Source organism: Homo sapiens, chromosome 21, assembly GCF_000001405.40.
Source record: "Homo sapiens chromosome 21, GRCh38.p14 Primary Assembly".
NCBI classification, from domain to species: Eukaryota; Metazoa; Chordata; class Mammalia; order Primates; family Hominidae; genus Homo; species Homo sapiens.
Window position 1 is genome coordinate 28,840,886 of NC_000021.9, and position 25,013 is coordinate 28,865,898.

The following is a 25,013-nucleotide window of genomic DNA, read 5'->3' on the forward strand; positions in this document are numbered from 1 at the left end:
GACACTTGCACAAGCATGTTTATAGCAGCACAATTTACAATTGCAAAATCGTGGAACTAACCCAAATGCCCATCAATCAATGGATGGATAAAGACACTGTGATAGATACATATATATATTATATATATAATATATAAATAAATATTATATATTATATATAAATAAATATTATATATAAATAAATATTATATATTATATATTATATATATTATATATTATATAATAAATATTATATATAATATATAATATATAATTTATATAATTATAATTTATATATAATATATAATATATAAATATATATTATAATATATATATTATATAATATATTATATATATTATATATTATATATATTTATATATATAATATATTATATATAATATATATTATATATTATATATAATATATATTATATATTATATATAATATATAATATATATTATATATAAATATATATTATATATATAAATATTATATATTATATAAAATATTATATATAATATATAAAATATTATATATATAATATATATATTATATATATAAAATATATATATTATATATAAAATATTATATATAATATATATGATGGAATACTACATAGCCATAAAAATGAATGAATTAACAGCATCTGCAGTGACCTGGATGAGACTGGAGACTGTTATTCTAAGTGAAGTAACTCAGGAATTGAAAATCAAGCATCGTATGTTCTCACTGATATGTGGGAGCTAAGCTATGAGGACACAAAGGCATAAGAATTATACGATGGACTTTAGGGAGTTGCGGGGAAGAGTGGGAGGGGATGAGGGATAAATAACTACAAATATGGTGCAGTGTATACTGCTCAGGTGCACCAAAATCTCACAAAATCACCACTAAAGAACTTACTCATGTAACCAAATACCACCTGTACCCCAATAATTTATGGAAAAATAAAAAATAAAAACAAAAACCCTTAGACTCCTAGGCTAGGAGAGCCCTGCTGAAAGACAACATTTCACACTTGTCTCAACTAATTGCTGGAGGAATTAGGCACATTCTGTGCAACTCCACTGGGAGAGACTCTTGGAAGCTTGAGGCTGCTTTCCTTTGGATTTAGTCACATGTGCCTATTCCCTTTGCTGATTTTGCTGTATATCTTTTCACTACGATAAACTGTAACTGTAACTATTACAACTTTTGAGTTCTATGAGTCCTTCTAGAAAGTCACTGAACCTGGGGTGGTCTTAGGGATAGATGCCTGACACACTATCCCAAAGGATAATTGTGAAGATTAAACAGCAACATGCATATCAAGCACTTGACATAATGGCTAGCCTAAAGTGTTCCATGGGTGTTATTGGCATCATTATTATATATTACATTATTTATTCATATAAAATTATATCTTATTATATCACATGTATAACTACATAACTCAGTTTTCTATACACTATTAATAAAAGATTGAGATAATTCTTTCTTGTCTTATTTTTCCTTAAACATTTACCTCTCTCACCCTTTGTTGATTTAGCTGTATTTCTACTGAACACATGAACTAATATCCTAACTTCTCAGACTATCAACAGATGCCATGAAATAATTGGATGCTTGTTAGCAACTGGCCTGATAGTATTTGATTGTGCTTTCTACTGTTCCTTCCTGATGACTCGTAGAGGGTAGACCCAGACGATACCTGGAAATTATTTGCTCATGTGGCAGTCACTGTTGATTGCCTACCCAAAGCCATTACTCCTTCTCCCCACCTAACAGAAGCCGAGTTTTGTTCAGCAACAACGTGCCCAGTCACAGAGGATAAATCTTGGCTAGTCTAAGCTAGTGCTAGTAGTCGCATTTCCTTTTGCCAATGATTTATTTCAGGTGATCATGGGACCTCGTTATGAATGATGAGACAAAGGTAGAATATCCCAGTAAGCAACTGGGAAGATTTCCTCCTCTGATTGTATACAGAGAATCAGGTAGATATTAGTTAGGAGGGTCCCTTTGCCTAACTTTGGAGATGGATATGTAAAAACCTGCTGCTAAGTGTGCAGTTGTTATCCCAAGTCTACAATGGGAGATAGCATCAAATTACTGGAGATGGAAGAATGGGAAGATAGACAGTTTGGTCTTGATAAAATTGTTGAACTGTAACTTTGTAACTACTTATATTTAGACTTCCTTTAAATAAGAAAAGTAAATGTTCATTTTGTCTAGTCACTATTGGCTGAGTCTTCTCTTACATGAGACTAATAGTATCCTCATGAACTTGAAACACATGTGGTTTCAACACGCGTTTTGTAAAGACAAATTATGCACAGCCCTGTATTAGTCCATTTTCACACTGCTATAAAGATAGTACCTGAGACTAGGCAATTTGTAAAGGAAAAAGGTTTACTTGACTCACAGTTCTGCATGGCTGAGGAGGCCTGAGGAAACTTACAATCATGGCAAAGGCGAAGGGGAAGAAAGGCAATCATGAGAACTCACTTGCTATCCTAGAACAGCATGGGGGAAACAACCCCCATGATCCAATTACCTCCCACGAGGTCCCTCCCTTGACATGTGGTGATTACAATTTGGATTACAATCCAAAACCATATTAAGTCCTTATCCGGGAATTCTGAAAAGGTAGCACATGTGCAATTCAAACTTAATGATCTTCTTCCAAAAAAGACATACTCAGTAATAACAAACTTCAATCAGAACCCAATTATTTTTGCAAAGAAAGGTAGGAAGATAGAACCAGAAAATTCTTTAGTCTTTTAAAGCATGTCATGGTCTCCTTTCAGCTTAAAGACCTTCTTGATTAAACATGAAATTTTCTGTGCAGATAAGCCAGTTCTGTGGATGTGAAGTCTGAGGAGTATATTTTATGTTTATAATGTGGATATTACTATTCATGGTTGGGAAATGAGAAATGAACAGTATTTTACATGCCATTATCCTTTGCCAATTTCTCTGAAGGGCATCCAGCTTCACATAGTAGTAAAATGTGTAATTCAGGACTGGGAAGCCGTATAATATGAAATTAGTGTTTTTAAGAAATTTTAAGGGAATCTGAATTTTAAAATGCTCAAAAATAAAACATATATTTATATGCACTATTAGAGCACATTATAAGTGTGACTGTTTTTAAGTCAAAGTTTTAATAATCTATTGCTTATTTAGGGATTATATAATACCTACTTCCAATATGTGAAGCAATAAGAGAAATGACAAAGGAATTATATATATATACACATTTAAACGTAATACATATACACAAATTTCAAGCATATATATCCTCCATAGTGGTCAATTTGGTAAGCTTTAATTGTTTGAATTTCTCATTAGGAATTTTATTAACAGTCAATACCATCTGATTTTAAATATCCTCAACAGTGGCTGATGGTCATTCTTTCAAAGCAGAGAAGCTATCCATCTGCTTTTTTCTCCACTCTTCATATTAGCCTAATTCCATACTTCTCTCCCTGACCATGCAATCCTATACAGAAATGTGATGTAAGTCTACATATATAAGTATTATTGTTTATTCTACAAAAAGGGATCCTACAATTTCTATATCTTGTCTCCTCAAACTTTTGTGTGGAATACCTTGTGGAAATCACTACAGGTCAATAGGTATAGCACTAATCATTATTTTTAATGACATTTTTGCCACTACAAACACATGGCCTTACATGTGAATATCTTTCTATGGAATAGAGTCCAAGAACTGGAATTGCTGGGCCAAGAAGCACACATATATTTTTAAATTTAATAGATGTTGGCAAATGGCTTTCCCAAAACCTATAACACCTCATATTTTTCCCAGCCATGAGACTAATCCCTTCCCTAAATCACCACCAGTAGTATTTATTATAACTCTTCAATTTTTGTCATCTGATTGATGTAAAATTACACTTTCTTTTACTTTAATTTGCATTTTCCTTATTATAACAAACTTGAGAATCCTTCTATATATTTTTTGGACATATGGATTCATAATTCTTTGCCCATTTTTTAATTGGATTGTGTTACTTTTGGCCAAATGTTCAGCTATTTGAAAAAATCAGTTACAAATATTTGTTGAAAATTGAATGTCTGTCTATTGTTTTATTTATGATATCCTTTGTGACATCAAGGTTCAAATATGTCTATCTTTTATAGCTTCTGGAAAAGATGCTCTCAGTTCATACATTTTTCTACATTCAATTTTCTAGATCTTCTTGCAAGGCTTTTACAATTTTATTTTGACCATGTAAGCTTCTTAGCCATCTGGAATTTATATTTAAAGGTAGAATAAAATGGTGATCCTCTTTTCTTTTCTTCCAGATGGATAATCAATTGTCCAAACATCATTTATCAAACAATTGATTCATTTCACACTAAAATGAACTACTACTTTGGAAATATATTAAACTCATCTATACTGGCTTCTATTTCTGCAATTTTTATTCCTTTCCCAACCACATGATTATGATGCAGTAGTTTTATTATTTATACTAATATCCAGTAAGACAAGACCTCTCACTATTCCCCCTTTGCATATTTTCTTAGCTATTCTGAAGCATTTATTCTTCAGTATAAACTTTAACCTTCTTTGGCCAATCATACCTCCAAAGAATGCCAATTCTAATTTTACTGCCTTATGTTTATACACTCACTAGGTGTGTGTATTTAATGCTTCTCTTCTTAAGTATTTCTATTCAATGTGATATGCCTTTCCATTTGTTCAAATCTTATTTTCTTTCAGTAAGATTTTCTATTTTTCTTTATGCAGTTTCTTTTCTTGTTTGATTTATTCCTAAGTATTTTATATTTTTCCAATAATTGTAAGTAGAAATTTTTTTCTCACTTCTATTTCTAAGTATTTTGTTAACACAGAGATAAACTAATGCTTTTTAAAAATTTATCTTCTATTCATCTCCTTACCAAATTCTCTTTTTTTTCTTTAAAGTTTTTATTTTAAGTTCAAGGGGTACGTGTGCAGATTTGTTACATGGGTAAATTGTGTGTCATGGGGGTTTCATGTATAGATAATTTTGTCACCCAGATAGTCAGCATAATACCCAATAGGTAGTTTTAGAATCCAAACCCTCGTCCCACCCTCTGCCCTCAAGTAGGCCCAGTGTTTATTGTTCCCTTCTTTGTGTCCATATGTACTCAGTGTTTAGCTCCCACTTATAAGTGAGAATATGTGGTATTTAGTTTTCTGTCCTTACATTAGTTTGCTTCAGAGAATGGCCTCCAGCTCCATCCATGCTGCTGCAAAGAACATAATCTTATTCTTTTTTATGGCCGCACAGTATTCCATGGTGTACATGTGCCACATTTTCTTTATCCAGTCTACCACTGATGGGCGTCTAGGTTGATTCCATGTCTTTGCTATTGTGAAAAGTGCTGCAATGAACATATGCATTCATGTGCCTTTATGGTAGAAATGATTTCTATTCCTTTGGATATATACCCAGTAATGGGATTGCTGGGTCAACTGGTGCTTCTGCTTTAAATTCTTTGAGAAATCTCCACATTGCTTTCCACAATAGCTGAACTAATTTACATTCCCACCAGCAATATATAAGTGTTCCTTTTCTCTGTAACCTTGCCAGCATCTATTGTTTTTTGACTTTTTAACAATAGCCATTCTAACTAGTATCTTGGAATGGTATCTTGTTGGGGTTTCAATTCGCATCTCCCTAATGATTAGTAATATTGAGTATTTTTTCATATGTTTGTTGGCCACATGTATGTATTCTTTTAAGAAGTGTCCGTTCATGCCCTTTGTCAATTTTTTTTAACCTTTATTTTAGGTTCAGGGGTACATGTGCAGATTTGGTATATAGGTAAATTGTGTGTTGCAGGAGTTTGGTATACAGATTATTTCATAACCCAGTGATAAGCATAGTATCTGATAGGTAATTTTTCAATCCTTGGCCTCCTCCCACCATCTACCCTCAAGTAAGCTCCAGTGTCTGTTGTTTCCATCTTTGTGTCCATGTGTACTCAATGTTAGCTCCCACTTATAAGCAAGAGTATGTGGCATTTGTTTTTCTGTTCCTGCATTAGTTCGCTTAGAATAATGGCCTCCAACTCCATGCATGTTACTGCAAAGAACATTATCTTGTTCTTTTTTATGGCTGTGTAGTATTCTGTGGTATATATGTACCATATTTTCTTCATCAGCTCCACCACTGACTGGCATCTAGGTTGATTCCATGTCTTTGCTATTGTGAATAATGCTGTGATGAATATATGTATGCATGTATTTTTAAGGCTAAACAATTTATATTACTTTAGGTATATAACCAGGAATGGGATTGGTATTTCTGTTTAAGTTCTTTGAGAAATCTTCAGACCGCTTTCCACGGTGGCTGAATTAATTTATATTCCCACCAGCAATGTATAAGCATTCCCTTTTCTCTGCAACCTCACCAGCATCATTTATTTCTTGACATTTAATAATAGCCATTCTGCCTGATGCAAGATGGCATGTCATCGTGATTTTGATTTGCATTTCCCTAATGATTAGCAATGTTGAGCATATTTTCATATGCGTTTTGGCCATGGTTACATCTTCTTCTGAAAAGTGTCTGTTCATGTTCTTTATCCACCTTTTAACAAAGTTATTTGCTTTTTGCTTGTTAATTTAATTTCCTTATAAATTCTGGATATTAGATATTTTTCAGATGCATAGTTTGCAAATATTTTCTCCTATTCAGTAGGTTGTTTGTTTACTCTGTTAATAGTTTCTTTTGCTGTGCAGAAGCTCTTTCATTTAATTATGTCCCATTTATCAATTTTTGTTTTTGTTGCAATTGCTTTTGGCATCTTCATCATGAAGACTTTGCCATGGCCAATGTGCAAAATGCTATTTCCTAGATTTTCTTCTAGGATTTTTATAGTTTTAGGTTTTACATTTAAGTCTTTAATCCACCTTGACTTGATTTTTGTGTATGGTAAAAGGTAGGAGTCCAGTTTCAGTTTTCTGTATGTGGCTAGCCAGTTATCCCAGCACCATTTACAGAAGAGAGAGAGTCTTTCCCCATTGCTTGCTACTGTTGACTTTGTCAAAGACCAGATAGTCGTAGATGCGAAACTTTATTTCTGGGTTCTCTAACCTGTTCCATTGGTCTGTCTGTATGCTTTTGTACTAGTACCATGCTGTCTCAGTTACTGTAGCCTTATAGTACAGTTTGAAGTCAGGTAGTGTGATGCCTCCAGCTTTGTTCTTTTTGCTTAGGATTGCTTTGGCTATTCGAGCTCTTTTTTGGTTCCAAATGAATTTTAGAACAGTCTTTTCCAATTCTGTGGAAAATGTCATTGACAGTTTGACAGGAATAGCATTCATTCTATAAATTGCTTTCAGTATTATGGCCATTTTAACAATATTGATTCTTCCTATCCATGAGCATGGAATGTTTTTTCATTTGTTCATGTGGTCTCTGATTTCTTTCAGCCATGTTTTGTAATTCTAACTGTAGAAAATTCTTATTTTTAAATCTAGTAATATTTACTACGGTTTCTTGAATTTTCTAGGCATACAATATTATCAACAAAAAGAGATCATTTGATCTCTTTTTTGTAAGTTTATATCGGTTTTTTAAATTTTCTTATCTTACTACATTCAGTAGCCCTTCTGAGGTAATGTTAAATAGAATGATAATGAGTGTCCTCCTCTAGTAACTAATTTAATTAAAATAGTTTTAGCATTTTAAAATTTAAAGAATTTTCTGAATGGCTTTATGTTTTCTAATTTTAATACATTCTCTTTTACTTAGCAATGTTATTAGAAACAATTCATTTCTTTCAAACTCCTTTAGGCATCTATTGATAAAACTATAGTTTTCCTTTAATGTGTTGTTATAACAGATTATGTTTATAAAATTTCCTAATATTCAACAACTGAAAATCTAAAAAACCCACTGTGTGAAATGCATTTTTCCACCCACTGCTGTGCCACCACCACCAACTATGAATACACACATGGAGGCCAGCAGTCTTACACCCATCAGTATCCCACCCCAGTCACTGCCAGTGTGAGTGCAAGCACAGACACCAGCAACCCTGCCCCTGCCTGCGCTCTGCCACTGGTATGAGTGCACGCAGGAACTCTGCAGCCCCACTCCCGCCAGTACCCCACCCCAGCTGACACGCATACACCCCACTGTGCTGCCCCAGCTGCTGGCATGTGTGAGTTAGCACAGATCCTACAGCCACCACCCTGACAACATGCTTTGGCTACGACCACCCATCAGAGTGTTGTGGCCAGTGGACTGGGAAGACCTCAGCCCCTCCGGTACAGAAGGTTCCTAACTTTGAGGGGCCAGAGAACAAAAGCCAGGGGCCCAGTACCAGCCCCCCAGAGTTATAGTATGCAGACCAGGAGTGCCGAGCTGAGGTTTGGCTCCCTGGTATCTTCCAGCAAAGAAAAAAACCCAGTCAGCTGAACCCACATTATACTACAATCAAACTCCCAGAGCATCAAAAAAGATAAAAGCAAAAAAACAACAACAACAAAAAAAAACCCATCCAAAGGACATCAACTTCAAAGACTGAAGGAACATCAGGCCACACAGATGAGAAAGAACCAGAGCAAGAACTCAGGAAACTCAAAAAGCCAGAGTGTCTTCTCACCTCCAAATGTCTGCACTAGTTCCCTAGCAGTGATTCTTAACCAGGCTTAAATGGTTGACAGAAATATAATTCAAAATATGGTTAGGAACAAAGATCATCGACATCCAAGAGACAGTCAAAACCCAATCCAAGGAATCTGAGGAATTCAATAAAATGATATGAGAGGTAAAACACGAAATCGCCATTTTAAGAAAAAAAGAAACGGATCTGATACAGCTGAAAAACTCACTTCAAGAATGTCATAATACAATAGTAAGTACTGACAGCAGAATAAAACAAGCTGATGAAAGAATCTCAGATATTGAAGACCAGTTCTCCAAAATTACTTAGACAAAAATAAAGAAATAATAAAGAAGAATGAATAAAACCTCCAACAAATATGGGATTATGTAAAGGGACCAAATCTATGACTCATTGGCATCCCTGAGAAAGAGAGAAAGCAAGCAACTTGGAAAACATATTTGAGGATATCATCCATGAAAATTCTCCTAACCTAACTAGAGAGGAAACATTCAAATTAAGGAAAGGCACAGAACCCCTGTGAGATACTATGCAAGACAATGATCTCCAGGACATGTAGTCACCAAATTCCTCAAGGTCAAAATGAAAGAAAAAATGTTAAAGACAGCTACAGAGAAGGGGCAGGTCACCTACAAAGGAAATCCTGTCAGATGAACAGCCAGCTTTTCAGCAGAAACCCCACAAGCCAGAAGAGACAGAATACCTACATTCAGCATTCTTTTTTTTTTTTTTTTTTTTTTTTTGAGACGGAGTCTCTCTCTGTCGCCCAGGCTGGAGTGCAGTGGCGCAATCTCGGCTCACTGCAAGCTCCACCTCCCAGGCTCACGCCATTCTCCTGCCTCAGCCTCCCGAGTAGCTGGGACTACAGGCGCCCGCCACCACGCCCGGCTAATTTTTTGTATTTTTAGTAGAGACGGGGTTTCACCGTGTTAGCCAGGATGGTCTCGATCTCCTGACCTCGTGATCCGCCTGCCTCGGCCTCCCAAAGTGCTGGGATTACAGGTGTGATCAGCATTCTTATGGAAAAGAAATTCCAACCAAGAATTTTACATGGAGCCAAACTAAGCTTCATAAGTGAAGGGGAAATAAACTCTTTTTCAAATAAGCAAATGCTAAGGTGATTTCTTACCACCAGACCTGCCTTACAAAAGGTCCTTAAGGGAGTGCTAAATATTGGAACAAAAGACCATTACTGGCCACCACAAAAACACACTTAAGTACAGAAACCATTGTGTTAGTCAGGGTTCTCTAGAGGGACAGAACTAATAGGATAGATGTGCATATAAAAGGGAGTTTACTAAGGGGAGTTTATTAACCAGGCCCTTGTCTTCTCTTCCTCTATCGATTGATTATAGTGAACTCCCCAAGAAGCTATCAGTGCAGGCTGGGGAAGAGAAGGGGAGAGAAGGAAGGGTGGCAGGAGTGGAGACCATGGGCATTTGAGCCACTTCCTCCTGTAACTTACTTGTGCCCAGATGCATATATACCACTTCCATCTGATAACGGAATGATGCTGTGCACACCCCACCTATGGCTAGATGGGTCAGAAAACACCCAGTTCTTGATAGGCAGTTCAGGTCGCATGGTGACTTGATGACCCATAATCTAACATTCAGTTTCTACCAAAGCCCAGTAACAGGCCAAGAACTGTTTCTCAAAAGGAGAGTAGTTATCTGCAGAAGATGGCAGGGCCTTACTCCAAATCCTAGAGGCTGCCACTGTGTTTCACCTACAGGGGCCTGCCAAAGGCTCCAAACGGCATCCCTATCTGCCACCGACACCTCAAGCACCATTGGATCTGATGGGTCATATGGCCCAAGTGTAAGAACAGCTTGCACAGCAGCCTGGACCTGTTGCAGAACCTTCTCTTGTTCTGGACCCCACTGAAAAATGGCAGCCTGTCAGGTCACTGGATAAATCGGCCAGAGTAACACACTTAAATGAGGGATGTGTTGCCTTCAAAATCCAAATAGGCCCACTAGGAGTTGTGCCTTTTTCTTGGTTGTCGGAGGGGCCAAATGCAGCAACTTATCTTTTACCTTAGAAGGAATATCTCGACAGGCCCCACATCACTGAACCATTAGAAATTTTGCTGAGGTAGAAAGTCCCTAAATTTTAGTTGGATTTATTTTCCATCCTCTGGCATGCAAATGTCTCACCAATAAGTCCAGTGTGTTCACTACTTCTCACTCACTGGATCCAATCAGTATAATGTCATCAATGTAATAGACCAGTGTTATATCTTATGGAAGGGAAAAGTGATCAAGGTCTCTCCAAATAAGACAATGACACAAAGTCAGAGAGCTAATACACCCTGATGTAGGACAGTAAAGGTATACTGCTAGCCTTGCCAGCTGAAGGGAAATTGCTTCTGGTTGGCCTTATGGACAGGAATGGAGAAAAAGTTATTTGCCAAGTACCTGGTACATACCAGGTACCAGGAGATGTGTTAATTTGCTCAAGCAATGAAACCACATCTGGTACAGCAGCTGCACTTGTAGTCACCTCTTAGTTAAGCTTACGATAATCCACTATCATTGTCCAAGATCCATCTGTCTTCTGTACAGTCCAAACGGGAGAGTTGAAAGGGGATGTGGTGGCGATCACCATCCCTGCATCTTTCAAGTACTTGATGGTGGCACTAATCTCTGCAATCCCTCCAGGGATGAGATATTGTTTTTGATTTACTATTTTTCTAGGTAGAGGCAGCTCTAATGACTTCCATTTGACCTTTTCCACCATAATAGCCCTCACCCTATCAGTCAGGGAGCCAATGTGTGGGTTCTGCCAGCTGCTAAGTATGTCTATGCCAATTATGCATTCTGGCACCGGGGAAGTGACCACAGGATGAGTCCCGGGACACACTGGACCCACTTTAAGTCAGACCTGGGCTAAAACTTCATTAATTACCTGACCTCCATAAGCCCCTACTTTAACTGGAGAACGACAATGACATTTTGTGTCCCCTGGAGTCAATGTCAGCTCAGAGCCAGTGTCCAGTAGTCCCTGAAATGTCTGATCATTTCCATTTCCCCAATCCACAGTTGCCCTGGTAGAAGCTAGAGGTGTCCTTGGGAAATGATTGGAGAAAGAATTAACAGCATAAATTGTCAGTAGTGTAGTGGGGTCCTTACACAAAAAGACCCGACCTCTCCTTCATTCAAGGGGTTATAGGTCTGTAAACTGGTTCAAGTACTGAAATTGATTGACGGGCCATGATTCCCTGTATTTGTAATTCAGATTAGTCTTTTGTTTACTCGATCTGAAAGTTCTCTGCTTATATAAATTAAGTAAGAATGCAGTAGGCTTCGTATCAATTTAACTTCTAGGAACACCATGATTAATTAGCCAATGTCAGAGCTCAACATAAGTCACACTATTCTGATTGCGACTTTGCATCTGCTGTCCATTCTGGTAGCTACACCCACCTTGCCTTTGATGGTTGAGTGCTGCCACCTGGCCCCTGCCACCTCGGGATCTAATTTTTCCCATTGCATTTAAATTTTGCAGTTGAATGGCTGCAGTTTCCACTGTTAGATCTGGCATATAGAGAAGAGCAATCACAGAGCTCTTCAAAGATGGCAGGTCCACCCTCACAAATCTATTTCACAAAGTATTGGTCAAGGATATATCTTCTGGACCCTCCCAGCTGGGATGAGTAAGTCTAAAGTGACTAATCCACTCCAGCATCCCAATCTCCCTAAGCCTTTGGATCCCTTTCTTTACATTAAACCAAGGAAGATCAGGCATTTCCAGCTCGCTCACAGTGGGCCATCTTTTAATCCACATTTCAGCTAACCAAGCAAATAAACTATTAGAACCTCTTTTAACTCCCCAAGCTACAACATTAAATGCAGAGTCCCTGTTTAGTGGGCCCAAATCAATAAATTCAGCCTGATCCAACTATGTTTTTTCCACAATTATCCCACACCCTTAATGTCCATTCCCATGACTGTTGTTCAGATTTCTGTTTATATAAATTAGAAAACTCAAGCAGTTATTTTCAGGTGTAGCACACCCCCTCATGGGTCACACTCTCATCCTCACCTCTAAGGGCCTACTGGGACTTTAGACTAGTTATAGGTCTAGAAGCAAACAGGAGTGTTGGGGGTGGCTCCTAAGGAGAATCAACATTATCTTGCCTGGAAACTGCCTCAGGGGAGGCCATCACTGTTGCCTCAGGCAATGTAGGGTTTATCTCCTCAGACAAAGGTGGAAAGGCTGAGAGCAGCATGGGTTGGGGAGGGGATGTTGCCACTATTGGAGTTGAGGAAGGTATTTCTTCAGGCAAAAAAAGGTTTATCAGAGTTTACACGCTCAATGTCCCCAGCTTCATCAGGGTCCTCTCACACATCCCCATTTCAAGTTGCAGGGTACCATTCTTTTCCAATCAAGGCCCTCACTTTAACAGTAGACACCTGGTGAGGTTGTACATGCACCTTTCACTGCAGGTCAGCCATATACACGATAAGAGCTTGTGTCTGTTTTTCCACAATTTCAGCTCTTTCTCGACAGGAGATAAGACTCTCACTCAGGGCTATCTTAGCAGATTTGAGGCTCAGTATCTGCTTCTGAAGCCAGGAGACAGAATCCCTGAGTTCATTATATATTTTCATCATTTTGTCCACCAAACTTAGGAGCAACCAACAAGCTTCATTATTTTCCTTGGTTCCCCACATATGATCAAAGGTATTAAGTATACAGTTGCTAAGTTCCTTGCCTCTAATCACCAATGCATCAGGAATGTCAAATGCATTTATTTTGCATAACTTTCTATACAGTTCATGCCAAGGATTATAAGTGTTCTCCACACTATTAGAAGTAGAGTCCTTAACATTTTTGGGTCTAATCATATTAAGCAGCCAAGTCCAGAAACCCTAAAACCAATGAAAGAACTCCAACCTTAATATTTTGTTCCTCTAGAACCACTCCTGGTACCAAAATCTGTATTAGTCAGGTTCTCTAGAGGGACAGAATGGAATAGATATATCTATATATCTATATCTATAGATATACATAGAGATAGAGATAGAGATATATAAAGGGGATTTACTAAGTATTAACTCACAATCATAAGGTCCCACAATACGCCATCTGCAGGCTGAGGAGCAAGGAGAGCCAGTCCGAGTTCCAAAACTGAAGAACTTGGAGTCCAATGTTGGAGGGCAGGAAGCATCCAGCACAGGAGAAAGATGCAGGCTGGGAGGCTAGGCCAGTTTCTCTTTTCACATTTTTCTGCCTACATATATTCTAGTCACACTGGCAGGTGATTAGATTGTGCCCATCCAGATTGGGGTTGGGCCTGCCTTTCTCAGTCCACTGACTGAAATGTTAATCTCCTTTGGCAACACCCTCACAGACACACCCAGAAATAATACTTTGTATCCTTCAATCCAATCAAGTTGACACTCAATATTAACCATTACAATCATTGACACTATAAAGCAGCCACACCATCAAGTCTGCGTAATAACTAGCTAACAACATTATGACAGCAACAAATTCACACATACCAACACCAACCTTGAATGTAAATGGGCTAAATGCCTCAATTAAAAGGCATAAAGTGGCAAGATGAATAAAGAAGCAGACCCAACTGTATGCTGTCTTCCAGAGACTATTTCTTATATAATGACACCTGTAGGCTCAAAGTAAAGAGATGGAGAAAAATATACCAAGCAAACAGTAAAAAAAAAAGCAGGGGTTGCTATTCTAATTTCAGACAAAACAGTCTTTAAACCAACAACATTCGAAAGAGACAAAGGAAAGAATTACATAAGGGTAAAGGATTGAAGTCAACAAGAAGAGCTAACTGTCCTAAATATACATGCATTCAACACAGGAGCACACAGATTATAAAGCAAGTTCTTAGAGACCTTCAAAGAGACTTAGACTCCCACACAATAATAGTGGTAGACTTCTATACCCTACCGACAGTATTAGCCAGACCATTAAGGTAGAAAACTAACAAAGATATTAATTATAAGTGTTGGGACCTGAACTCAACACTTGACCAAATGGGCCTAATAGAACTCTTCCACCCTAAAACAACAGAATATACATTCTTCTCATTTGCACATGGCACATACTCTAAAATAAACCACACAATCAGAAAACAACTCTCAGCAAATTCAAAAAATGGAAAATAAAATTACATCAAACACACTCTCAGACCACAGTCCAATGAAAATGGAAATCAATACTAAGAAAATCATATAAAACCATGCAATTACATGGAAATTAAACAATCTGCTTCTGAATGACTTTTGGGTAAGCAATGAAATTAAGGCAGAAATCAAGAAATTCTTTGAAACTAATGAGAACAAACATACAATATAGCAGAATCTCTGGGACACAGCTAAAGCAGTGTTAAGAGGGAGGTTGACAATGCTAACCACCCACATCAAGAAATTAGAAAGATCTCAAATTAACAACCTAACATTACATCTAGAGAAGCTAGAGAAACAAGACCGAACCAAACTAGCAGAAGACAAAAAATAATATGTTTTTTAAATACATTGCAGATATTATTAGGTAAAATGTATTCAGAATTATTCTCTATATTCCTTTGTTAGAGTGATATATTATTTTATTTGTTGGGCACCTTTGGCAGCTTTTTTACAAGTTATTTTGGGCTGGGCACAGTGGCTTATGCCTGTAATCCCAGCACTTTAGGAGGCCAAGGAGGGTGGATCACTTGAGGGCAGAAGTTTGAGACCAGCCTGGCAAACATGGTGAAACCCTAACTCTACTAAAATTACAAAAATTAGCCAGGAGTGGTGGCAGGTTCCTGTAATCCCAGCTACTTGGGAGGCTGAAGCAGGAGAATTGTTTCAACCTGGGAGGTGGAGGTTGCAGTGAGCTGAGATCGTGCCACTGCACTCCAGCCTGGATTGACAGAGCAAGACTCCATCTCAAAAAAAAAAAAAGAATAATAATAATTAAGGTTATTTTGGCTTGATAAAATCCATGTAATGAATGAAAAATCTGGTGGTCCAAGATGGCCAATTAGAAGCAGCTGCAGTCTGCACCTCTCACAGAGAAGAATGAAAGTATCGAGTAAATTCTGTACCTTCAATTGAGGTATCCAGGTATCCAGGTTGTCACATTGTGACTGACTAGGCAATTGGTGCAACCCACAAAGAGTGAGGAAAAGCAGGGTCAGGCGACAGTCCACCCAGGAGCAGCACAGAGCCAGGGATCCCCCACCCCTAGCCAAGGGATACAATGAGTGATTGTGCAACCCTGCCAAGGAAAGTGTACTTTTCCCATGGATCTATGCAACCTGCGTATCAGGAGATCCCCTCGTGGGCCCATGCTACCAGGGTTTTGGGTCTGAAGCACTGAGCTGTGCGGACTCCCAGCAGCTGCTCAGGCATGCATGGAGACACAGGAGTTTTTGCATACTCCAGCCCCGGGAATTCCAGTAAGGCAGGAGATCTGTTCATTCCCCTAGGAAAGTGGCTGAAGCCAGGGAGCCAAGTGGCATCATTCACTGGGCCCCACTCCCACAGCACCTCACAAGTTAAGACCCACTGGCTTGGAATTCTAGCCAGCCAGCAGCAGCAGCAGGCTGGAGATTGCCCAAGATGACCATGTGTTTTACACAGAGTTTATAGTTTCCCTTTTAAATTTGTTTTGATTGAAGAGTTACCCAGAAGTATGCTTATTAATTTCCAAGGAGATTAAACTTTTTAGCAAACTTTGTATAAAGTTCTTTATTTTATTGAATTTGTTATTTAATTTTATTGAATTTGATTAAAAAAAAACACAAACTACAAAATTTCTACCTTAAAATTGTAGAGGTTTTCCTGAAACCAAGCACCATACAAGCACAAAACGTATTTTGTAAATGTTCAATGAACATATACAAGAAAGATTCTTCGTTGAAAGGATGTAAGTTTTAATGTACATTTATTAAAGTTTATTGATTGTATGATTCTTTTCTGTATAACTTTTTTTTGCTTGTTTTTAACTAGACCTGTGTAATTCTGAAAGAGAAATAATTTGTCTCTCATGATAGTTTTATTTTCCCAAATTTTTTCCTCATGTAGTTAGCTGCTGTATCATTTAATACAGATTTATAAATGTAATATACTCTTCATAAACTGTTCCTTTCATTATTATATAACATGCCTCTTCAGTGCATTTAACCTTACATTTAACCTTGTCTGTTATTAATATTGCCATTTGTTATGTAAAATTAATTGCAATCCTGCCAGAACATAGATGTTCTGGGTCTTATTAAGAATAACCAAAGATTTCCCTCCTTTAGGGAAAGAGATTATATGAGCTACTCTCTATGTTAAATCTACTCTCTATGTTAAATCTTTCTACTGTTTAACACTTACGTCACAAAGCTATATATGTTCTAAGAACAGGGTCCACACAGTCCACTGTTCATACAAACAGTATCCAGATTGTGTCAGGTGTTAAGGTTGGCTTTGACTTTTCAACAGGAACAGGCCTCTTGTTTCATAGGTCATGCTGACCCACTTAGCCTACAATCCTACAATAAAGATCTTCTATCCTTGGTCTTATCTTTATGCGACTGAACAACAAAACAGCTGCAAGGTTCTACCACATGCTCCTTTCTTTTTATTTGAATATGTCTCTTATCTCTTCACTCAATTCTCAATTTAAGCTGTTAACACTGCTTAAGCGGGGTTTATTTTCTTGTACATAGCAAATAGCTATGATTTGTTTGTACCCTAGTCTACAATCTGTCAACTATGTCCCTAACCACTCTTTTCCCCCATCAGTATGCCCTACTTCACCTCTACTTCTTCCTTAACCCCAATAAGTTGAAGCCCATAGACTACCTTCACTTCTCCTTTCTCCTCCCCAACTTCATTCTCTGCACCAGTTATAACCTTGGGAAGCTTCTACTTTCCATTGTTACCACAATCACCAGCTCCTAAGTTTTCTGAATTTGGGTAGTACATTTTAGAAATGTCTTATCCTTCCCGTTTCAGGAGACTTGCTTATAGATCACATTTTGAGATACTATGTTGTTATTCAGATAGATGTATAGATGAAAACAGGAAGGAGGGAGGGAGGAAAGGAGGAAGGGAGGGAGGAAGGAAGGAAGGAGGGAGGGACGCAGGGAGGGAAGTGGGGAAAGGAGGGAAGGAAGGAGGGAAGGACAAGTATTGCTGCTCACCACTGTGGCCTTGTTGCCTTGCCTCTTTATTTTCTCCATCCTAAGGTTTCTGCTCTGGTTCATTTATTGCTCAGTTAGAGTATTTTCTCAAGAAATTTTTTAAAAGGGACCATGCCAGGAGTTCAATGTCACAGGGAGCTATGATCGCACCACTGACTCCAGCCTGGGTGTCTGAGCAACTCTCTAAAACATAACAACAAAACAAAATAAAATAAAAGGGGTACATGGCTGATATACTCTGAATTTTTATTTATCCTCACATATCTCTCTGTCACTCTGACAGGTCAATTATCTTATTTGAGAAGACTCTGGGTTCCAATTCTTTAATTGATGCTATTTCACTATCAGCCAGCTTTCAGTAAATTAATTAAAAAATAACAGAGGATTCCATTGCCCAAAGCTTTGTTCATATTTCCCTTTGTTGGTTGTTTGTTATTTCTACCTAGAAGCCTATAATATTATCTTCATTATTAAAGTTCCAGGATTCACTCAGGACATACCTGGTGTGTATCTCGTCTCATCAGTAAAGCCCGCAACTTGGAAAGCTCTTACACTCTAGTCTCAAAACTGTATTTACCTTAGATAAATTGTTTTTTAGTATTTGTTTAATGATTGCCTATCTTCCATCTGCTCTTTTTTTTCCTTAAGAATCTCCAATTATTTTTATGGTAGGGATCCTCAAATCTTGCATTCAAGTTGCCTACAATTTTCATTTGTGCTTTGACGTTTTCCCTGCACCTGGTCATCCAGTTTACCAATTCAGATGTCAATAATCACCATCCTTATCTTAAATGTATCTACTGAGTTATTTGAGAAATCATGGCATTAAAGTCAAAGAAGTCTTTTAACCACTGCCTTAAGTGTGGTTACTTTTTTTCAATTCAGCCATTCTTCTGCTCTTCTAACAATTCTCTTCTACTGGGTTTGTGCTCTAATTTTTGTCTGATATTTTCATCTCTCATCTATGGTACCCTCACATTTGTGGTTATTTATCTCTGATAGTTATGGGGACCTCAGGTGTACTGTGGAGAATTCTGAATGGCTGGACTCCCATGGATGCTGGAAGGAGAAGCAGCAGCTGCCCTCACCACCCCAGACCTGAGTGTGGAAACCTCAGGCTCACATCCCCCTCCCCCAGCTCTCCATATAGAAAAAAAGTAACCAAATTTAGGTCACTATGTCCCCAAAAATGATACTGTTCATCCTTTTCCCCAATATTTGTCTTTAATTAGTGAATAAATGAACTATCTGAGCTTCATCGTTGGAAACAAGATATACTGAGTGTGATGGTTAATATGGCGTGTCAACTTGATTGGACCTTATTATTGTCTTTATTTGAAGATAATGCATGATCTCAGCACATGTGTATAGGCTCAAGTTGACAAGGGGTGGACTTGCGATGGTTAATACTGAGTGTCAACTTGTTTGGATTGAAGGATACAAAGGATTGATCCTGGATGTATCTCTGAGAGTGTTGCTAAAGGAGATTAAAATTTGAGTCACTGGGCTGGGAAAGGTAGACCCACCCTTAATCTGGGTGGGCACAATCTACTCAGCTCCCAGCGTGCCTAGAAAAGAAGCAGGCAGAAAAATAAAAGGAGAGACTGGCCTAGCCTCCCAGCCTACATCTTTCTCCCCTGCTGGATGCTTCCTGTCCTGGAACACTGGACTCCACGTTCTTCAGTTTTGGAACTCAGACTTGGCTCTCCTTGCCCCTCAGCCTACAGACAGCCTATGAAGGGACCTTGTGATTGTGTGAGTTAAACTTAATAAACTCCCCTTTATATATACAAAATATATATATATAACATATATAATACATATATAAATATATGTATATATAGAACAAAATGAACCTAGTTGGTTGCTCCTAAGTTCACTGAACAAAGAAATTTTAAAAAATTATGAACTCAAGGATTCTATCTCCTGGCTTCAGAAGCAGATACTGAGCCTCAAATCTGCTAAGATTGCCCTGAGTGACAGTCTTATCTACTGTCGAGAAAGAGCTGAAACTGAAAAAACAGACACAAGAATTGCTTGAGTTTTCTAATTTATATAAACAGAAATCTGGAGAACAGCCATGGGAATGGATATTAAAAGTGTGGGATAGTGGTGGAAGGAACATGGAGTTGGATCAGGCTGAATTTATTGATTTGGGCCCACCAAGTAGGGACTCTGCATTTAATGTTGCAGCTCAGGGAGTTAAAAAAGGTTCTAATAGTTTATTTGCTTGATTAGCTGAAATATGGATTAAAAGATGGCCCACTGTGAATGAGCTGGAAATGCCTGATCTTCCTTGGTTTAATGTAGAAAAAGGGATCCAAAGGCTTAGGGAAATTGGCATGGTGGAATGAATTAGACACTTTAGACCTATTCGTCCCAGCTGGGAGGGTGCAGAAGATATACCCTTGACCAATGTCTTGCGAAACAGATTCGTGAAGGCAGCACCTGCATCTTTGAAGAGTCTTGTAATTGCTCTTGTCTGCATGTCAGATCTAACAGTGAGAACTGCAGACACTCGACTACAAAATTAAAATACAATGGGAGTAACTGGATCACAAGATGGCAGGGGCCAAGTGGTGGCACTCAACTATCAAAGGCAAGGTGGGCATACCTGCTGTAATAAACAGCAGAGGCAAAGCAGCAATCAGAATAGTCTGACTCATGTAGAGCTCTGGCATTGGCTAATTAATCATGGTGCTCCTAGAAGTGAAATTGATAGGAAGCCTACTGCATTCTTAATTTATATAAGCAGAAAACTTCTAGGTCAAATGGACAAAAGACTAATTTGAATTACAAATACAGAGAATCACGGCCCCTCAATCAATTTCCAGACTTGAGCCAGTTTACGGTTTACTTCCCCTTGAGGAAGGACCCCACCATATTACCAACACTTTATGCAGTGATTCTCCCATCCTTCCCCAAGGAGACGTCATGGTCATGGAAATCACTGGTCTTACCATGTTCCCCATCATCCTGAAGCAGCTGTATTGATAGAATGGTGGATTAGCCTTTCAAAGTCACAATTCCAATGCCAACTAGGTGACAATACTTTGCAGGGCTGGGGCAAAGTTCTCCAGAAGGCCATGTATGCTGTGAATCAGTGTCCAATATACGGTACTGTTTCTCTCACAGCCAGGATTCACAGGTCCAGGAATCAAGGGGTGGAAGTGGAAGTGGCACCACTCACCATCACCTTTAGTAATCAGCTACCAAATTTTTTGCTTCCTGTTCCCGCCACATTACGTTGTGCTGGCCTAGAGGTCTTAATTGCAGAGGGAGGAATGCTGCCACCAGGAGACACAACAATTCCATTAAACTGGAAGTTAAGATTGCCACCTGGACACTTTGGGCTCCTCCTACCTTTAAGTCAACACACTAAGAAGGGAGTTACAGTGTTGGTTGGGGTTACTGACCTGGACTTTCAAGATGAAATCAGTCTACTACTTCACAAAGGAGGTAAGGAAGAGTTTGCATAGAATACAGGAGATTAATTAGGGTGTCTCTTAGTATTACCATGCCCTGTGATTAAGGTCAGTAGGAAACTACAAGAGCCCAATCCAGGCAGGACTACAAATGACCCAGACCCTTCAGGAATAAAGGTTTGGGTCACTCCACTAGGAAAAAAACCACGACCTGCTGAGATGCTTGCTGAAGGCAAAAGGAATACAGAATGAGTAGTAGAAGAAAGTAGTCGCCGGGCGCGGTGGGTCATGCCTGTAATCCCAGCACTTTGGGAGGCCGAGGCGGGTGGATCATGAGGTCAGGAGATCAAGACCATCCTGGCTAACAAGGTGAAACCCCGTCTCTACTAAAAATACAAAAAATTAGCCTGGCGCGGTGGCGGGCGCCTGTAGTCCCAGCTACTCGGGAGGCTGAGGCAGGAGAATGGCGTGAACCCGGGAAGCGGAGCTTGCAGTGAGCTGAGATTGCGCCACTGCAGTCCGCAGTCCGGCCTGGGCGACAGAGCGAGACTCCGTCTCAAAAAAAAAAAAAGAAAGTAGTCATCAGTACCAGCTACGACCATGTGACCAACTGCAGAAAGAAGGACTGTAATTGTCATGAGTATTTCCTCCTTTTGTTAAAAACATGTTTTTGCATGCATACACTTGTACTAAGAAAATATCTTCATTTTATTTCCTTTCTCCTTTATCATGTGACATAAGATTTATTGACTTCACATCAGCATTTAAGTACTGTTAACTTTATGTATTTGGGTCGGGGATTGGTGCGTTTCTGGTTGTACGAAGGATAGTTGAATTATGTTACGTGTCATTATGACCTTATTATTGCCTTTATTTGAAGATTATGTGTGATCTCAGCAGATGTGTATAGGCTCAAGTTGACAAGGGGTGGATTTGCGATGGTTAATACTGAGTGTCAACTTGTTTGGATTGAAGGATACAAAGGATTGATCCTGGGTGTGTCTCTGAGGGTGTTGCCAAAGGAGATTAACATTTGAGTCAGTGGGCTGGGAAAGGCAGATCCACCTTTAATCTGGGTGAGCACAATCCAATCAGCTGCCAGCATGGCTAGAATATAAGCAGGCAGAAAAATGTAAAAAGAGAGACTGGCCTAGCCTTCCAGCCTATATCTTTCTCCCATGCTGGATGCTTCCTGCCCGTGAACGCGGGACTCCTAGTTCCTCAGTTTTGGAACTTGGACTGGCTCTCCTTGCTCCTCAGCCTGCAGACGGCTTATTGTAGGACCTTGTGATTGTGTGAGTTAATACTTAATAAACTCCCTTTTATATATATATATATATATATATATATATATATATATATATATATATATATATATATATACTTCATTAGTTCTGTCCCTCTAGAGAACGCTAATAAACCAAGGTTCCGTTTTACTGTATTCTACTACAAGGCTTTGAGAAAATGGTAAGTGGTGTTAACTTACAGGAGATCACAGACACTGGTGAAAACCTAAACAAAGCTAGACATACTTTCTCTAGAAGGAAAAAGCCCTTACGTATACACAGAGGGTGGCCAGGTTTCTGGAAGTCCATAAACTTCAGATTAAGAGACCACCAAGGAGAGACTGTCTGTCATTTCTCTGTTTTTCAGAGTAAGATTATCAGGACCGTAGAAACTGTTCTTATTCCTTGGCCTCACTGAACACTTGCTGCTCTGGCACCAGAAACAGTCTTTTCTATAATTTATTTATTTTTTGAGACAGAGTCTTGCTCTGTCGCCCAGGCCGGAGTGCAGTGGCACGATCTTGGCTCACTGCAACCTCCACCTCCCAGATTCAAGCAATTCTCCTGCCTCAGCCTCCCAAGTAGCTGGGACTACAGGTGTGTACCACCACGCCTGGCTAATTTTTTGTATTTTTTTAGTAGAGGCAGGGTTTCACCATGTTGGCCAGGGTAGTCTAGAGCTTCTGACCTGAAGTGATCCACCCACCTTGGCCTCCCAAAGTGCTGGGGTTACAGGCATGAGCCACTGTGCCTGGCCCCCAGAAACAGTCTTAATGTTCCTTTTGAACAGAATCCTCCCCTTGGCTGGATGAAAGGATTATAAGTTATAGCAACATAAGAGCTGGCATTCCCAACCTAGAACTTTAACCACCCACCTCCTTTTGCATAAATCTAGAGATGAGAGAGAGAGAGCTATAAAACCAAAGGCCTTCTAAAGCAAAAGACACCTTTGGTAAATAGCTAAAAAGATTTCTACAGCTTCAAATATTAGACACTTTAAAAAGTGTATTAATTTGACCCCTATGGGTCTTACATTAGCATTTAAGATGTATGTCCAAAAGAGCATTGCACCAGCTTAATCTTTCCTGAAAACTTGTTGTCCCATGAAGACTGTCCTTTGATGAGCTCATTCAATCACATGACTTCAAACGCTCCTCATATGATAATAGCTCCTATTTCAATAACTCTAGTTCATTTCCTCTCTCCTCAACCCGGACCCATATGCATAAACATTTGGACACGTCCACTTAAAAAGTTTCACTTCAATCCTAACTTGCCCCCATGTTGTCCTTATCATCTTCCCCCTATTCCATTTTACTCTCCCTCCACAAAGCTTGCTCCTTCTGGTTTTCCATTCCTGGGAATGGCACTATTATTCTCTCAGCTGCCCAAGTTAAAAACCCACAAGTCACCTCGACTCCTACCTCTCTCTGAAAGACAGACAGACAGATAGATAGATAGATAGATAGATAGATAGATAGATAGATAGATAGATGGATGATAGGTAGATATAGATGATAGATAGATATAGATAGATGATATAGATAGATAGACAGACAGACAGACAGAATCTATAGATACAGGTATTCAATCAGTTACCAAGCGTCGTCCCTTCCTTACCCTATGCAGATATGTTCCCCCTTCCCATTCCCACAGCCTTAACCTCAGTTCAGGCCACTACCATCTCTTCATTTAACCACAGCAGTCTCAAGAGGGTCCTCCATCTCCTGATTAACCTGCCTCTAGTCCATTCCCCACAGCCAGAGTGATCTTTTAGTTTTTCTTTTGTTTTGTTTTTGTTTTTGTTTTCAAGATGGAATTTTGCTCTCTTGCCCAGGCTGGAGTGCAGTGGCACAATCTCCACTCACTGCAACCTCCGCCTCCTGGGTTCAAGTGATTCTCCTCCCTCAGCCTCCCGAGTAGCTGAGATTACAGGTGCACACCAGAATGCCTGGCTAATTTTTGTATTTTTAGTAGAGATGTGGATTCACCCTATTGGCCAGGCTGGGTCTCGGACTCCTGGCCTCAAGTGATCTGCTCACCTTGGCCTCCCAGCATGCTGGGATTACAGGCGTGAGCCACCACGCCCAGCCTAGAATGATCTTTTGAAAGCACGTTTGATTTTGTTGACTCCTCGCTTCTAGAAGCACATCTTCAGAATAAAGACTACATCCTTTCCCATAATTTGTGAGCACTGAATGCTGTTTCCTGCTCTATCCTAGACTCCTCTTTGACTAGTCCTCCACCTGAACCCTGGACCTAGCCAGACTGAGCTACTTGCAACTCCCTGAATATGCTGGACTCTGACTCTGAAGTCTCTAGGCCTTTCCATGCACTCTTCCCTCTGCTGAATGCCCTCTCACCTCTTTTGCACTTGCCTGAATCCCATTCTCCTTTCTAGACTCAATTTAGCCATTATCAATTCTAGGATGTATTATATACTTCACAGTCTCCAAAACTCTCTGTGCGTTCCTCTATCATCAAACTGTAGCCACATATCCCCACTGTTTCAGGCTTCCAAAATT

At 39.1% G+C, this 25,013-nt stretch overlaps 1 protein-coding gene across 1 annotated transcript in view, besides 2 other annotated features; it reads right to left on the reverse strand.

Annotated features, from left to right (window-relative positions):
• The window catches only part of HEMK2 (HemK methyltransferase 2, ETF1 glutamine and histone H4 lysine), a 309,770-nt gene that overhangs the window by 265,288 nt on the left and 19,469 nt on the right, over positions 1 to 25,013 (reverse strand). The window lies entirely within an intron of this gene.
• Positions 15,518 to 16,019: an enhancer, noted in NCBI's record as "H3K4me1 hESC enhancer chr21:30228725-30229226 (GRCh37/hg19 assembly coordinates)". NCBI's record gives its function as "activates a minimal SCP1, AML or CMV promoter by ChIP-STARR-seq in primed H9 embryonic stem cells {active_cell/tissue: H9 hESC(primed)}" and the evidence as "EXISTENCE:reporter gene assay evidence [ECO:0000049][PMID:30033119]".
• Positions 16,020 to 16,519: an enhancer, noted in NCBI's record as "H3K4me1 hESC enhancer chr21:30229227-30229726 (GRCh37/hg19 assembly coordinates)". NCBI's record gives its function as "activates a minimal SCP1, AML or CMV promoter by ChIP-STARR-seq in primed H9 embryonic stem cells {active_cell/tissue: H9 hESC(primed)}" and the evidence as "EXISTENCE:reporter gene assay evidence [ECO:0000049][PMID:30033119]".